The following is a 17,729-nucleotide window of genomic DNA, read 5'->3' as shown; positions in this document are numbered from 1 at the left end:
AGGTGAAATAAACAGCCACGTTGCTCACACAAAGCCTGTTTGGTGGTCTCTTCACACGGACGCGTATGAAATTTGGTGCCGTGACTCGGATTGGGGGACCTCCCTTGGGAGATCAATCCCCTGTCCTCCTGCTCTTTGCTCCGTGAGAAAGATCCACCTATGACCTCAGGTCCTCAGACCGCCCAGCCCAAGAAACATCACACCAATTTCAAATCCGGTAAGCGGCCTCTTTTTACTCTCTTCTCCAACTTCCCTCACTATCCCTCAACCTCTTTCTCCTTTCAATCTTGGCGCTACACTTCAATCTCTCCCTTCTCTTAATTTCAATTCCTTTCATTTTCTGGTAGAGACAAAAGAGACACGTTTTATCCGTGGACCCAAAACTCCGGCGCCGGTCACGGACTGGGAAGGCAGCCTTCCCTTGGTGTTTAATCAATGCAGGGACGCCTCTCTGATTATACACCCATGTATCAAGGGTGTCAGACCACGCAGGGACGCCTGCCTTGGTCCTTCACCCTTAGCGGCAAGTCCCGCTTTTCTGGGGAAGGGGCAAGTACCCCAACCCCTTCTCTCCTTGTCTCTACCCCTTCTCTGCTTTCCTGGGGCAGGGGCAAGTACCCCTCAACCCCTTCTCCTTCACCCTTAGCGGCAAGTCCCGCTTTCCTGGGGCAGGGGCAAGTACCCCTCAACCCCTTCTCCTTCACGCTTAGCGGCAAGTTCCGCTTTCCTGGGGCAGGGGCAAGTACCCCTCAACCCCTTCTCCTTCACCCTTAGCGGCAAGTCCTGCTTTTCTAGGGGGCAAGAACCCCCAAACCCCTTCCCTCCGTGTCTCTACGCTCTCTTTTCTCTGGGCTTGCCTCCTTCACTATGGGCAAGCTTCCACCTTCCATTCCTCCTTCTTCTCCCTTAGCCTGTATTCTTAAGAACTTAAAACCTCTTCAACTCTCACCTGACCTAAAATCTAAGTGTCTTATTTTCTTCTGCAATGTCGCTTGACCCCAATACAAACTCGACAGTAGTTCCAAATAGCCGGAAAACGGCACTTTCAATTTTTCCGTCCTACAAGATCTAAATAATTCCTGTCGTAAAATGGGCAAATGGTCTGAGGTGCCTGACATCCAGGCATTCTTTTACACATCAGTCCATTCCTAGTCTCTGTGCCCAATGCAACTCGTCCCAAATCTCCTGCCTGTCCCCTCAGTCCCAACGCCAAGCGTCGCTGAGTCTTTCTAATCTTCCTTTTCTACAGACCCATCTGACCTCTCCCCTCCTAGCCAGGCCAAGCTAGGTCCCAATTCTTCCTCAGCCTCCACTCCTCCACCCTATAATCTTTTTATCGCCTCCCCTCCTCACACCTGGTCTGGCTTACAGTTTCGTTCTGTGACTAGCCCTCCCCCACCTGCCCAGCAATTTATTCTTAAAAAGGTGGCTGGAGCTAAAGGCATAGTCAAGGTTAATGCTCCTTTTTCTTTATCCCAAATCAGATAGTGTTTAGGCTTTTTCATCAAATATAAAAACCCAGCCCAGTTCATGGCTCGTTCGGCAGCAACCCTGAGACGCTTTACAGCCCTAGACCCTAAAAGGTCAAAAGGCTATCTTATTCTCAATATACATTGTATTACCCAATCTGCTCCCGACATTAAATAAAACTCCAAAAATTAAATTCTGGCCCTCAAACCCCACAACAGGATTTAATTAACCTCGCCTTCAAGGTGTACAATAATAGAAAAAAGTTGCAATTCCTGGCCTCCACTGTGAGACAAACCCCAGCCACATCTCCAGCACACAAGAACTTCCAAATGCCTGAACTGCAGCGGACAGGCGTTCCTCCAGAACCTCCTCCCCCAGGAGCTTGCTACAAGTGCCAGAAATCTGACCACTAGGCCAAGGAATGCCTGCAGCCCAGGATTCCTCCTAAGACATGTCCCATCTGTGCGGGACCCCACTGGAAATTGGACTGTTCAACTCACCTGGCAGCCACTCCCAGAGCCCCTGGAACTCTGGCCCAAGGCTCTCTGACTGACTCCTCGGCTTAGCGGCTGAAGACTGATGCTGCCCGATCGCCTCGGAAGCCCCGTAGACCATCACGGACCCCGAGCTTCGGGTAACTCTCACAGTGGAAGGTAAGTCCGTCCCCTTCTTAATCAATATGGAGGCTACCCACTCCACATTACCTTCTTTTCAAGGGCCTGTTTCCCTTGCCTCCATAACTGTTGTGGGTATTGACGGCCAGGCTTCTAAACCTCTTAAAACTCCCCAACTCTGGTGCCAACTTAGACAATACTCTTTTAAGCACTCCTTTTTAGTTATCCCCACCTGCCCAGTTCCCTTATTAGGCTGAGACACTTTAAATTATCTGCTTCCCTGACTATTCCTGGACTACAGCTACATCTCATTGCTGCCCTTCTTCCCAATCCAAAGCCTCCTTTGTGTCCTCCTCTTATATCCCCCCACCTTAACCCACAAGTATAAGATACCTCTACTCCCTCCTTGGCGACCGATCATGCACCCCTTCCCATCTCATTAAAACCTAATCACCCTTACCCCGCTCAATGTCAAGATCCCATCCCAAAGCATGCTTTAAAAGGATTAAAGCCTGTTATCACTTGCCTGCTACAGCATGACCTTTTAAAGCCTATAAACTCTCCTTACCATTCCCCCATTTTACCTGTCCTAAAACCAGACAAGGCTTACAAGTTAGTTCAGAATCTGCACCTTATCAACCAAATTGTTTTGCCTATCCACCCCGTGGTGCCAAACCCATATATTCTCCTATCCTCAATACCTCCCTCTACTACCCATTATTCTGTTCTAGATCTCAAACGTGCTTTCTTTACTATTCCTTTGCACCCTTCATCCCAGTCTCTCTTTGCTTTCACTTTGGCCCTGACTCAGCAAATTACCTAGGCTGTACTGCCGCAAGGCTTCACAGACAGCCCCCATTACTTCAGTCAAGCCCAAATTTCATCCTCATCTGTTACCTATCTCGGCATAATTCTCATAAAAACACACGTGCTTTCCCTGCTGATCATGTCCGATTAATCTCTCAAACCTCAATCCCTTACAAAACAACAACTCCTTTCCTTCCTAGGCATGGTTAGTGCGGTCAGAATTCTTACACAAGAGCCAGGACTGCACCCTGTAGCCTTTCTGTCCAAACAACTTGACCTTACTGTTTTAGCCTAGCCCTCATGTCTGCGTGCAGCGGCTGCCGCTGCTTTAATACTTTTAGAGGCCCTCAAAATCACAAACTATGCTCAACTCACTCTCTACATTTCTCATAACTTCCAAAATCTATTTTCTTCCTCATACCTGACGCATATACTTTCTGCTCCCCGGCTCCTTCAGCTGTACTTACTCTTTAAGTCCCACAATTACCATTGTTTCTGGCCCGGACTTCAATCCGGCCTCCCACATTATTCCTGATACCACACCTGACACCCATGACTGTATCTCTCTGATCCACCTGATATTCACCCCATTTCCCCATATTTCCTTCTTTCCTGTTCCTCACCCTGATCACGCTTGATTTATTGATGGCAGTTCCACCAGGCCTAATCGCCGCATACCAGCAAAGGCAGGCTATGCTATAGTACAAGCCACTAGCCCGCCTCTCAGAACCTCTCATTTCCTTTCCATCGTGGAAATCTATCCTCAAGGAAATAACTTCTCAGTGTTCCATCTGCTATTCTACTACTCCTCAGGGATTATTCAGGCCCCCTCCCTTCCCTACACATCAAGCTCGAGGATTTGCCCCACCCAGGACTGGCAAATTAGTTTTACTCAACATGCCTGAGTAAGGAAACTAAAATACCTCTTAGTCCAAATAGACACTTTCACTGAATAAGTAAAGGCCTTTCCTACAGGGTCTGAGAAGGCCACCGCAGTCATTTCTTTCCTTCTGTCAAACATAATTCCTCAGTTTAGCCTTCCCACCTCTATACAGTCTGATGACGGACCAGCCTTTATTAGTCAAATCAGCCAAGCAGTTTTTCAGGCTTTTAGTAGGTTTCAGTGAAACCTTTATATCCCTTACGGTCCTCCGTCTTCAAGAAAAGTAGAACGGACTAAAGGTCTTTTAAAAACACAGCTCACCAAGCTCAGCCACCAACTTAAAAGGGACTGGACAATACTTTTACCACTTTTGCTTCTCAGAATTCAGGCCTGTCCTCAGAATGCTACAAGGTACAGCCCATTTAAGCTCCTGTATAGACGCTCCTTTTTATTAGGCCCCAGTCTCATTTGACACCAGACCAACTTAGACTGTGCCCCCAAAAAACTTGTCATCCCTACTATCTTTTGTCTAGTCATACTCCTATTCACCGTTCTCAACTACTCATGCATGCCGTGCTCTTGTTTACACTGCCGGTTTACACTTTCTCCTAGCCATCACAGCTGATATCTCCTGGTGCTATCCCCAAACTGCCACTCTAAACTCTTGAAGTAAATAAATAATCTTTGCTGGCAGGACTATGCTGCATCTCCTTAGGCACTCTCTCATCAGATGTCCTAGGTCCTCCCAATTCTTAGACCTTTTATACCTGTTTTTCTCCTTCTCTTATTCCATTTTGTTTCTCAATTCATCCAAAACCGTATCCAGGCCATCACCAATCATTCTATACGACAAATGTTTCTTCTTACATCCCCACAATATCACCCCTTACCACAAGATCTCCCTTCAGCTTAATCTCTCCCACTCTAGGTTCCCACGCCACCCCTAATCCCGCTTGAAGCAGCCCTGAGAAACATCACCCATTCTCTCTCCATACCACCCCCCAAAAATTTTCACCACCCCAACACTTCAACACTATTTTGTTTTGTCTTATTAATATAAGAAGGCAGGAATGTCAGGCCTCTGAGCCCAGGCCAGGCCATCGCATCCCCTGTGACTTGCACGTATACATCCAGATGGCCTAAAGTAACTGAAGATCCACAAAAGAAGTAAAAACAGCCTTAACTGATGACACTCCACCATTGTGATTTGTTCCTGCCGCACCCTAACTGATCAATGTACTTTGTAATCTCCCCCACCCTTAAGAAGGGACTTTGTAATTCTCCCCACCCTTGAGAATGTACTTTGTGAGATCCACCCCTGCCCACCAGAGAACAACCCCCTTTGACCGTAATTTTCCATTACCTTCCCAAATCCTATAAAACGGCCCCACCCGTATCTCCCTTCACTGACTCTCTTTTCGGACTCAGCCCACCTGCACCCAGGTGGAATAAACAGCCATGTTGCACACACACACACACACACACACACACACACACACACACAAAGAACTCATAAAACTCAACAATAAGACAACAAACAAGCTGATCAAAAGATGGGCAAAAGACCTCAATAGACACCTCAACAAAGATACAGGTAGCAATAAGCATATGAAGAGGTGCCCAACAAAATGTCATTAGGGAACTGCAAATTAAAACAAGATACCACTATATGACTGTCACAATGGTAAAAAATCCAAAACAGCAGACAACACCAAACGCTGACGAGGATGTGGAGCACGGGTAACTCTCATTTGTTGCTGATGAGAGTACAAATGGTACAGCTACCTTGGAAGACAGTGACAATTTCTTATAAAACTAAACATATGCTTATCATACAATCTAGCAATTGTGCTCCTTGATATTTATTTCAAGGACCTGAAAACATGTCCACATAAAAACCTGTCCACATATATTTACAGAAGCTTTATTCACAATTAAGAAGTCAAAAAAGAGAGGAGGATGTTGGGGAGAAAGAAAGAAGAGGAAAAGAAAAGCCCAGATAGGTATGATCTTATTTAAGGTGTTTCTTTCCTCTCAATGTTTTATGAAATTGAAAAAAAAGTTACCTAATACTTTAGGCCGGGCGCAGTGGCTCACGCCTGTAATCCCAGCCTTTGGGAGGCCGAGGAGGGTGAATCACTTGAGGTCAGGAGTTCGAGACCAACTTGGCCAACATGGTGAAACCCCATCTCTACTAAAAATACAAAAATAAGCCGGGTGTGGTGGCGGGCACCTGTAATCCCAGCTACTCAGGAGGCCGAGACAAGAATCACTTGAACTGGGAGGCACAGGTTGCTGTGAGCCGAGATCACGCCACTGCACTCCAGCCTGCATGACAGAGGGACTCTGTCTCAAAACAACAACAACAACAATAACAAATATAAATTATTAAGGATTACACATAAAAACAGTGTATTTTCTAAGTACCTTGATTCTTTGGATCAAATTTTCTTGTTATTAGTTGCTATAAGTAAATGATAATAGGTTGTATGTGAATCTCATTCAAAACCCTCCAACATGTAATCCAGGCAATCTGAAGAAAAATTACCTTTAACAAAAGAAATGCAAATAATGTTCTAGATAATAAAAGTAGTTAGCTTTTCTTCACTCTTCTGCATAGCTAAATTTCCCCCACATCAAGCTTTAATGAAGACAGAACTAAGTAAAAGTGATAATCCAATGCTTATACAAAATTATGAAAATTCAAAATAAGATAATCCTATTTATACAAATCATAATACAAGTATAAAGTATAACCACAGCAAGTTTCATAAGGAAATATTTAGCATTATTATAACCTTTAGGTAATCTTTTTGCGCTGAAGGACAATACATTCCATTATCCCATTGTGTATGCAAATTAAATGTCTCTTTGCTTCTATACAAAGAGAGGGTGGCTAAGCGAGAGTGAAGTCAAGCAGAAAGTGAACTGCATATTGAATTTATAATTTCAAAAATACATTTTTGGTAAGAGTTAAAACAATCCGAATTCCTTAAATTTATGGACTGTGAAGTATCACACGTAAGGTCACACAAATGGAAACCAAATCTCCTCATACCCCGTCTCTCCACTACACGATAATGCCAACTGTTAGGAACTACAGTAATGTTTCAAAGTAAGTATCTACTGGCATAAAGTTAAAACTCTATGGGGGTCCCAAACAGTTATAAAAATGCATAAGGCATGTCTTCTTTGTGTAGCTTGCATTTAAAAAATGCTTCAGTTGGTCAAGATATTACTCCAACTCTCGCTTCATTTGCTCTGTAGTGATAATGGGTTACAGTATTTACTGACATCAGTCCAATGAAGGAACCAATGAGAATACATCCTAAGTAGTAAGTTCCAATTTACTGGCAAACAGGCAATATTAAGCACATAAGATAATCTCATTTGTGCCCAATATTATATGATTTTAAGGGTAGGAGGAGGAAGGGTTAGAAACTATTAAAAAGGGTGTGAAAATACAACTTATGATCACAAATATTTTTATTAAGCCCAAGACATAATAGCGCATTACAGGAAGAACCCAACTACATTTCATTAGAGATAAAAGTATGGATATAACAACAACAACAATAACAACAAAAAAAGAAACAGCCTATCATTGAAAATACATTAATACAGAAAACATGAGATATCCATTATGAGATTTTAAAAGGTAAAATTCCTAACAATTTGAATAACTGATTTGGGTATAGTGATGTACAAGGAGGTAGTATTAACACATGAAGACTCCTTTTAGCCCTGTAATGGTAAAATATATTCAGTCTGTTCAATATACCATCAAGACTGGGGTTAAGCCGTGAGTTCTCAGTCTTTAATATCTAAATAATCACTGTAAGAGTTTTATTTGCCTTCCAAATCCAGAGGGTCGTACTACCTAGCATCTTAGCAAGTTAGGATGCTTTGAAAAGCATGATTTCCAAAAATTAACAAATCTTTGATTTATAAATAAGTTTATTTATAATGATATTTACATAATAAAAACAAAACACATGGAACTCACAAGTTATACAAAGAAACTGATGTATAATAAAAACAGCAATATAGACTGACAGGCAGAAATTTAAAGAAAGATTTAATAAAGAGTTAAATATCAAATAGACAACTTCACTTCTAAATTTCACTTTGTCACTCACACTGAATTGGAATTGAACAATGGCTCTCTCTTCAGGCGGTCCTGTACTGGAAATTCTGGAAACTGGTAAAATATATTTTGATAAGAGTTTCAAGTTAATGACCTATTTCCATGCAGTACCTAATGCTGCCTTTAGATGAAGTCACATTCAGTCTGCTTTGAAATGAAATAGCTTTAAGTAATCTGTTCTGCCAGGCTAGAAAAATGTCACCAACATTTTGCTGATGCATGGAGATGTGGCAGTAATAAACTACTATTTAGAGAGGAAGAGAATTGGAGCAGAAGTGACTGGGCAACAGTTTCAAGAGAAGCAAAAGCCGGGAGAGGGAAATCAATGAAAACATGCACAAGATTAGGCAGAGTAATATGCACAATTAGTGCAGTTGGAAAATGAACAGAAGGAATTAATCCATGGAGCAAGGTAGGGGCTTCTTTAGTTACTATTCACTGGAAAACAACTTAGTGCCTAGCCAAATAAATTTGTTTCAGCAGAAGTACTTGAGAGGACCTGGGGGATGTTAGTATATGGAATGCCACCTTTAAATTCAGGTTGAGTTCTTGCTGACATTGGTGAACATCTGCTTCAAATAGCAATAAAATGAAAGCTATATAATCTATACAGCTGCATTCTTTAACATAATAAAAAAGAACTTCAAATGAGACAAGCAAAAACAAGACATAAGCATTGTCAAATAAGGCACATGTAAAAATCTACACACATTATCCAGTGAAAGACAATATATATATATTTGGAGGTAGAAATAATTACAAAAATACTGACATTTCTAAAGCATTAGCATATTTGTTACAAACAATCACCAACTAATCCCCATTCAGAAAACTGCTTTGTAAAATGATTATTCAACATCTTCAGAACTACATATTTGTGGCTTCTTTTTTGAAATTTCACGTGTGAGTATTTGGAGAATTCAGTTAGTGGCAAAAAGTTGTCCATACTATGAGAAATGTAATATGGAAATTATAAAAAGTTATAAATGTTCATAAACCCCATGGTCATCATAATGTAAATGTCCTTGAGTGCACCAAGTTGATATTTCCTCATCAATTGAGAGTTCACAGTTCTTATTTCACAGGCCCATTGATGTTTTTAGTAATGTGGCTATATCTGCTGGCATACTCCCTTCATCACCTGTAGGTCAGAAAGTAGCATTAAAAGCTTTATAAAAATATTTTACTTAAAAAAAAATTGTCTCAATTATTTTTTTTCTTTGGTGAATTCTTACTCATCTTTCAAGGGCTAGTTTGCTTCAGTGTCACTCACCCCTGTTAAAAACTTTCCTAAGCTCTACTTAGATTAGGGCTATTTCCTCTATGTTCTTGTTCATATTGCCAACATAGCAATCTAAGGTTATTTTTCCAATTTTATAAAGCTATATAAAAATACACGGTAATACACTGGATCGTATCTAATTCATGGTACTTAACTTCTCACATTTGCTAAATAAAAAACATTTATGTAAGAAATGGAGTAGGGAAAACAAGGATAACAAACCCAAACCTAAACCAACGAAAACCAATCTATATTCTTATTTTTCATCTAAAGATATAATCACTGACTCAGACCCACACTGTATACATATAAACAACATTCTGAGCACAGCATACCAGCTGATGATTAAATTAGCCACTTTAAATTACCTGGTTTATCCAATGTTTGCCCTATATTTTAATTAAATGAGGCCCCAGTATAAGCACTTACAGGAATTATTTGAGATTTTCTAAATCTCTTTGTGTCACAGTGGCAGATAATCTAGCCATCCCTGATTAATTCAATTTAGCACTGAGAATATTTTGAGATGAGTTGATTAATTTACTAGTTAGTGACAACAGCACAGGTGGCAATTCAAATATTTGCTGATCTGTGATAGATCTGTAACTATGAATAATTTTATAAATTAGATGTGGCTGAAATGTAGCAAAACTAACCACTTCTCTCCTCCTCCCCTCTCTCACAAATATACACCTCAGCTATAATCTAAAATTATGAGTACTTTCATCCACTCTTCTTTTCTCTGTTAAAAAAACAAAAAACAAAACAAAACACATATATCCACAGGAACACAAAATAGTACATCAACTCTTAGGGATGTCAGTTCACTGACATCCTTGCTTCCAAGCTCATCCACAGACTTGAAAATAGCCCATAAAATCCAAATTGACACTTCATAAATTACTATATAAACTGATACTATGTTAGGAAGAATGCAGGGAGAAGAGAAAAGAAGGAAAAGAATAAGGAGATTCTTTTAAACTTGAAGATACTAAAGACAGAATACAATAAAATGCTGTGTGTGAACTTTGGACCCTAGTGTTTTAAGGAAAGCTATAAAAGACATTAAGGGGACAAATGAGAGAAATCTGGATATGAATAATATATGATAATGTCTGAAAATTACTGTTTATTTTCTTAGATGCTACAATGGTATTGTACCAACTTTGAGGAATATGCTGTGATATTGAAAATAAATTGCCATGTTTACAATTGACTTTATTATGGATCAATGGGAAAAAAGAAGTAGAAAAAACAAACACTGCAAATGTCACAACTGTTAAATCGCTGTATTTTTCATTCATACTATACTTTCAACAATTAAAAAAATATATATATATTTTAATAGAGATGGAGTCTTGCTATGTTGCCCAGGCTGGTTTTGAACTCCTGGGCTCAAACGATCCTCCCGCCTGTCTCCCCAAGTGCTGGCATTATAAGCATGAACCACACGCCCAGCCACTGCTTTCATTTTTGTATGACTATTTCTGTAATAAAAAAATTCAAAAAGTATGTAGTCATGATTGTGGTAATATATATATATTTTTAAAGTTCCAAAAGGTAAAAAATGTATTAATACAATTAATACATTAAGGGAAGTTAATGAAAAAAAACCCAAACACAATCTTTATTTTAAAGCAGTGGTTCTCTGATTTTAGCTTTATCAGAATCACTTCAATAGCCTGTTAAACCAAGTATTATTAGGTGCCATCGCCAGAGTTTTTGACTAAGTAGGTATAGAATGGGGCTTGGGAATTTGCATTTCAAATTGCCAATTTCTTAGGAGATGCTGCTCCTGCTGCTGGTACTCTGGTAACAACTAAGGCAAGCTCTAGGAACACAAAAATCTGATAAGCATATTTGAGAGGAATCATGGTCTTTACCTTTCATAGTTTCATGTAAGAGGGGACAAACAGATTGGTAACAAAAAGCAATACATAGTCAATTACAAATATACATTTTTGTTTATAGAGGAAAAGGACCTCACTGTGAGAGATGGAAAGAAGGGCATACATGTATTATCATCAGTCCAGTGTCAAAATTACCTAAATGAAACCCGGGACACAGCTGAAGACAAATGATTACAGCTAAACGAGTAAATAAGAGACGCCATTACATCCTTATTCTAGCAAATAAAATACACACTGGGAAAAACACATATAAACAGCTTTAACAAGATAGAGGAAAACTTCTAGGAAAAGTGGTAAGGAGAGGCCAGGCGCGGTGGCTCACGAGGTCAGGAGATCAAGACCATCCTGGCTAATACGGTGAAACCCCGTCTCTACTAAAAATACAAAAAATTAGCTGGGCATGGAGGCGGGCACCTATAGTCCCAGCTATTTGGGAGGCTGAGGCAGGAGAATGGTGTGAACCCGGGAGGCGGAGCTTGCAGTGCGCGGAGATTGCGCCTCTGCACTCCAGTCTGGGCGACAGAGCAAGACTCTGAAAAAAGTGGTAAGGAGAGGGCAGGATTCTTCATAACTAAACACTTCAAAGCTATTGGCTTGAGAGCACAGCTAAAAATACACTGCTATTTTAACAGACAATGTAGGTGAACATAACAGGCAAAATTTTAGACTGACCAAATTTATACAAATACAAATAATTTACATTATGACTGAAAATGATCAAACATACACATCACCTCTGTTCCCATCACCCATAATACCATTAAAATACGATGGGAGAAAAAAGTGTAAGGGAATTAGACAAAGGAGAAAGAATAGGAGAAAAAGACAACAGCAGACAGAGAGTTGTCTACAACTTTTGAAAGAAAACGATGAAAGAATGGAAACTGATTTTCGATAATAAAGTAAAAGCTTAAGTGTCTGCAGGTGGGAAATGCAAGGCTAGTTCACACCCAGAATCCTTACCCTTCTACCTTCAAAGCTCAGGAAATGGGGGTAAATGGGAAACATGAAGTTATAATCAGCTTGAACAGGTAAGATGTCTAAAGCTTGCCCAAGAGAGCCAGCCATTTGCTCCAAATGTATAAAACTGAAGGTTTATTCTCTTTGGAGAACATGAGTCTGAGGAACTCTGGACTTGTCATAGAAGAGAAGAAAGAGGCTGCTGAAAACAGGCAGATTAACTATTAATATTTAAATAAGAGAACAAACCTCCCTCCTTCATTTCTCAGGGCCATTCTCATACCACCTCTCTCCCTACCTCTCTTCACTTCACAGGAGGTTGAAAAATTTCCCTCTGAGGAAATGAACTAGCCCATAAGAAAAGACTTATAGTTAATTTTATCAACTATTATGGTTCTATTATATTTAGAAACTTGTTAGAATAAAATCCATATATTTGGATATTTGCTAGTATTGCTGAAAAAGAATTTAAATGCTTTACTAAATTCTAAAAGCTGCCCTACCAAAATAATAAGGAAAACATTGCCCAAAGAGAATCTGCCTTATGCATTCACTTTACTGTATTTCCTGGACAACCTGAAACTGGCAAGTTGCCACATGCACACAAAGCCTAGTAATGACTGCTAATTGTTTAACTATGATCACTCTACTTATCCTTACTCTTAAAGATCTCAGTTGCTTCTTACTCAAACTTTCTCTACCGCCCACCTCCCCAAGCTTCCACAGCACCCTGAAATAAATGCTACGCAAGAAAGACTAGTAATTATTTGATCATACGCACTTCTCTCTCGCTGTAGACAGATTAAAGTATATTGATTTTTACAGAACAGAGTGCCTAATATAACACAGACATAACAGTGTCTGTCATGAACAGAAATTTGCTAAATTAAAATGAACAATTATCAATATTAGGAATTAGAATGAAAAAACTTGCTTATTTCCAATTAATTTAACATTAAATAAGAAAAGATGCAGAAGAGTGTATCGTAAGTTGACATGCACCCTTTCTCCCATAAAAGAAAGAACACGTGTTTATTTTTATACACATAAAATAACTGGTCACACACACACAAAAACAAAAGGCTAACACTTGTCACCTCTATTGGGGAAGTTGGGAGATGGGGCGACTAGGAGGCGTCTGTTCTTTCATTTCTGAGTTTTGAACATATTCTTTTCAAAAACATATACAAAAATAAAAATTTTGAACTTAAGAAACTTCAAAAAAATTATTTTAGTATTTTGAAATAAACATGCTTACCTTCTCCCACATCACACATCATCCCTAAACTGTAAGCTAGTTAAGGTAGCCATCTTTGTCATCCTCTTGCACTGACTAATTAGATGCATGGTCATATAGATAAATATTGAAGTTTCTGCTTACAAACAACTCACCTTCATCTACTGTAGTCATATCCTGTTCTAGTTTCAATTTCTGTTGGTTAATTTTTAGCATGGATTCTTCAATCGTCCCTTGGCTTATTAGTTTTATAACTAGTACTTCTCTAAAAAAAAATACAAAATATGTCCATTGGTTACTAAATATAGTTATTTGGATATATGTAAACTATATTTAAGAGTTCAAAAAGAATACTTTGAAAATTACGACAAACATATCCTTAAATTCTTTTATTTAAGCCACTTGAGACTGACATTTTCTGACTATTTAACTTTTAGACACTCCTACAGATGGAAGAAAAGAGAAAGATATTTGTATTTAAAGTAAATTACTGACTGGGCACAGTGGCTCATGCCTCTAATCCCAGCACTTTGGGAGGCTGAGGCAGGTGGATTGCTTGAGGCCAGCAGTTCGAGATCAGCCGATCAGCCTGGCCAACATGACAAAACCCTGTCTCCACTTAAAAAAAAAAACGAAAAAAAAAAAAAACAAAAACCAAAATTAGCTGGGTGTGGTGGCACACACCTGTAATCCTAGCAGTTGGGAGGCTAAGGCATGGGAATTGCTTGAACCTGGGAGGTGGAGATTGAAGTGAGCAGAGATGGTGCCACTGCACTCCAGCCAGAGTGAGGCTCTGTCTCAAAAACAAAACAAAACATTACAACTACATTACAACAAACAGTTCTGTGTTCAGATGGAAATTACTTTTTTCTTTTTTTTTTTTTTTTTTTTTTTTTTTGAGACGGAGTCTTGCTCCGTCACCCAGGCTGGAGTGCAGTGGTGCGATCGCGGCTCACTGCAAGCTCCGCCTCCCGGCTTCACGTCATTCTCCTGCCTCAGCTTCCCGAGTAGCTGGGACTACAGGCGCCTGCCACCACGCCTGGCTAATTTTTTTTTTTTGTATTTTTAGTAGAGACGGGGTTTCACCATGTTAGCCAGAATGGCCTTGATCTCCTGACTTCGTGATCCACCCGCCTTCGCCTCCCAAAGTGCTAGGATTACAGGTGTGAGCCACCGTGCCCGGCTATCTTCACCTCTTTACAGTGCTGTGACCAATGTCAAAATGTACCATTCATCTAAAATAATTTACAACTCAATTTACTTCCTAAAGGGTAACAGGACAGCCCAGCAAGTTTGTATATTACCAAGTTTGTCTGGGACTTAACTGATCTAACAAGCAAGTTTTTTTAATTACTCATCTTTTTCAAAGGGGTAGACAATTTTTTTGTTTGTTTGTTTTGAGATGGAGTCTTGCTCTGTCGCCCAGGCTGGAGTGCAGTGGTGGTGATCTCGGCTCACTGCAAGCTCTGCCTCCCAGGTTCACGCCGTTCTCCTGCCTCAGCCTCCCTAGTAGCTGGGACTACAGGCACCCGCCACCATGCCCGGCTAATTTTTTGTATTTTTAATAGAGACGGGGTTTCACCCTGTTAACCAGGATGGTCTCGATCTCCTGAACTCATGATCCGCCCGCCTCAGTCTCCCAAAGTGCTGGGATTACAGGCGTGAGCCACGGCGCCCGGCCGTCAATTGTTAATACTTCATGAACTGCAGAACTATTTGGAATGTGGGTGGATAATTACTAGAAAATGGAAGGGTTACGTAGTGCAGTTGATGTTCAACACTGCTGGTATAAAATACATCAGTAGCCATGCTTTGCCGAAAAAACAAAAACTAAGGCAGGACATCCAACACTATATTCTAATGGTCTACACAAATTAAAGTGGCACTGAATTAAAAATACATTCCAACTAAAAACACTTACTTAGTCTGGCCTACTCTATGGCATCTATCTTCTGCTTGTTTGTCATTATAAGGATTACAGTCAATATCGTGAAGTATAACAACATTTGCTGAAGTCAGATTTATTCCTAATCCACCAGCTTTTGTTGATAGCAGAAACACAAAGATATCCATATCGGTATTAAACTCATCAATTAGATGAATCCTGTAAGATAAACAAATTAGGTTAAATCTCACTAAAAAGTTGTATAATGTAATTAAAATGGAAAACAATCATTATCACATGAAAAAGAAACCTGAAGATGTATGTACATCTCTTAGTATTGCAGTTATTTCTCCTCTGGCTATATCACTGAAGAGCCTCCTCAATTCCCCAACTTCTTTTCTACGATATTGCTACCCCTACCAACTCTTACTTCAATTCAACTATTCAGATTCAATTAATTCCTAAATGACTATTTTGTCCTTTTTAAACTTGTGGCTTAGCTAAATTCTGTGTATGGCTTTTCAATCTTTAACCTTCTCAGAAGTATATCGGCTCCTACTGGCAGACAACATTTCTGATGAATCAAGGACTTCATGATCAAATTGTGTAAGTGGATTCTCTTCTTTAAAAAAAAAAAACATTACTTTTACCTTTAGTCTAATGCGGGTGGGAAAAAACCACTCTGGCCAACAGAAAAAAAATAAATCAAAATATATAATGCAATTTAAACATACTACACAATTCCGTCCTTATTAAGACAATCCCTTCTTTACTAAGCTCAATCTTTACAACCTTTGGGAATTAAAAAAACTTTAATTACCCTTAAAATGTGAAAGATTTTAAAACAATCTTGATGAAAGATAAGGTGTTTTAGACTTTGAAAAAAATTTAAAGGTGAAAACCATAAAAAATACAATTCTAATAGCTGTTTCAAAACGTATTTGCGCCGGGCGCGGTGGCTCACGCCTGTAATCCCAGCACTTTGGGAGGCCGAGGCGGGCGGATCACGAGGTCAGGAGATCGAGACCATCCTGGCTAACACGGTGAAACCCCGTCTCTACTAAAAATACAAAAAATTAGCCGGGCGTGGTAGCAGGCGCCTGTAGTCCCAGCTACTCGGGAGGCTGAGGCAGAATGGCGTGAACCCAGGAGGCGGAGCTTGCAGTGAGCCGAGATCGCGCCACTGCACTCCAGCCTGGGCGACAGAGCGAGACTCCGTCTCAAAAAAAAAAAAAAAAACAAAAAAACGTATTTGCATGTAATTCAGAAAGAAAATTTAAAAGAAAATTATTTATTTTTTGAGATAGGGTCCCGCTCTGTCACCCAGGCTACAGTGCAGTGGTGCGATCTTGGCTCACTGCAACCTCCGCCCCCCGGGGCTCAAACAATCCTCCCACCTCAGCCTCCCTAGTTGGGACCACAGGCGTGCACCACCACACCTGGCTATTTTTGTTGTTGTTGTTGTTGCTATTGGTGTTTTTAGTAGAGACAGGGTTTTGTCATGTTGTCCAGGGTAGTCTTGAACTCCTGAGCCCAACCAATCCGCCCGCATCAGCCTCCCAAAGTGTTGGGATTACAGGCGTGAGCCACCATGCCTGACCATTGAAATTACTCTTATTTTAAGGTAATGATTTGAAGTAATCAAACATAAAAACAACAAAATACTATCAATTGTTTGTTAGACAATTAAAATCCTAACAATAATAATAAATGAGTTATTTTTTTGTAACTAACATGAATTATACCAACCTTTCAGAAATCTGAGTCTTTCCATCTAATCTGAGGTACCTATGCTGATGATGTTTTAATAGAACCTCTAAGATATCCAGCATCATGGTAAATTGGCTAAATAACACAACTCTATCACCCTGTGAAAATACATACATGAATTAGAAATAGAAAAAATCGTTTTACTACTCAAAGCCTTGACAGGTTTAAACAGTTAGAAGTGTTACTTATATCATGTTGATAAATTTGCAGAAAATTCTCTGTGATAAACTGCTTCTTTAATACAAATCAGTAATACCGAAGACGTATGTCTTATTGCAGCCTATATATGAATAAACTGCCTTAACTTCAGGGCTAAAAGCTAGCTCTCAGTTTTGATTTTAAGAACAGTTAAATTACTTCCTTTTCATAAGAAAAACGTCGGAAAATGTGGACAACTGCTTATGTATGTATTATCTGGACTGTGATTTTACAAATTTAGGCTATTTCACACATAAACGGCAGCATTACTTAAATAACTAACAAATAGTGTCTTTAAAAACTAATTTTGAAGCACACATACAGATTGTCACCTATGAAATAATGACAATTAAGATTTTTTTAAAACATCAATACAGATACAGTCTACTAACTTTCTATTGTTTTTGTCTGAGGTTCAACAGAGGAAAGGAGGTAATCAAGAAAATACGTCAAGAAAATGTTCAAAACACTAAGTTCTGGAAGAATGCAGAACAGACATAGGCTAATTCAAGCAAGTCAGTGTGCCAGAATTGCTTTAAGAAGTTAAAGTAATTGAGAAAATACAA

General features: G+C 39.7%; 1 protein-coding gene across 28 annotated transcripts in view; it reads right to left on the bottom strand.

Moving 5' to 3' along the window:
* SMARCAD1 (SNF2 related chromatin remodeling ATPase with DExD box 1) overlaps positions 7,243–17,729 on the bottom strand; it is an 83,685-nt gene continuing 73,198 nt past the window's right edge. For 26 of the 28 annotated variants that reach the window (NR_164736.1, NR_164724.1, NR_164729.1 and 23 more), the window contains 4 exons: positions 16,945–17,063; positions 15,232–15,414; positions 13,466–13,575; positions 7,243–9,062 (listed from right to left, as the gene is read on the bottom strand). Coding sequence is in view for 11 of the 28 variants with exons in the window: in NM_001128430.2 (NP_001121902.1) it covers positions 9,001–9,062; positions 13,466–13,575; positions 15,232–15,414; positions 16,945–17,063 (474 nt within the window). In the remaining 17 variants the exon portion in view is untranslated. The remainder of the gene's footprint in view (positions 9,063–13,465; positions 13,576–15,231; positions 15,415–16,944; positions 17,064–17,729) is intronic. The other 2 variants (NR_164725.1, NR_164735.1) reach the window with 2 other exon arrangements.

The sequence above is a fragment of the Homo sapiens genome, chromosome 4 (assembly GCF_000001405.40).
Source record: "Homo sapiens chromosome 4, GRCh38.p14 Primary Assembly".
In the NCBI taxonomy this organism is placed as follows: domain Eukaryota; kingdom Metazoa; phylum Chordata; class Mammalia; order Primates; family Hominidae; genus Homo; species Homo sapiens.
The sequence above is the reverse complement of the archived record's forward strand: the minus strand, read 5'-3'. Positions and strand labels throughout refer to the sequence as shown.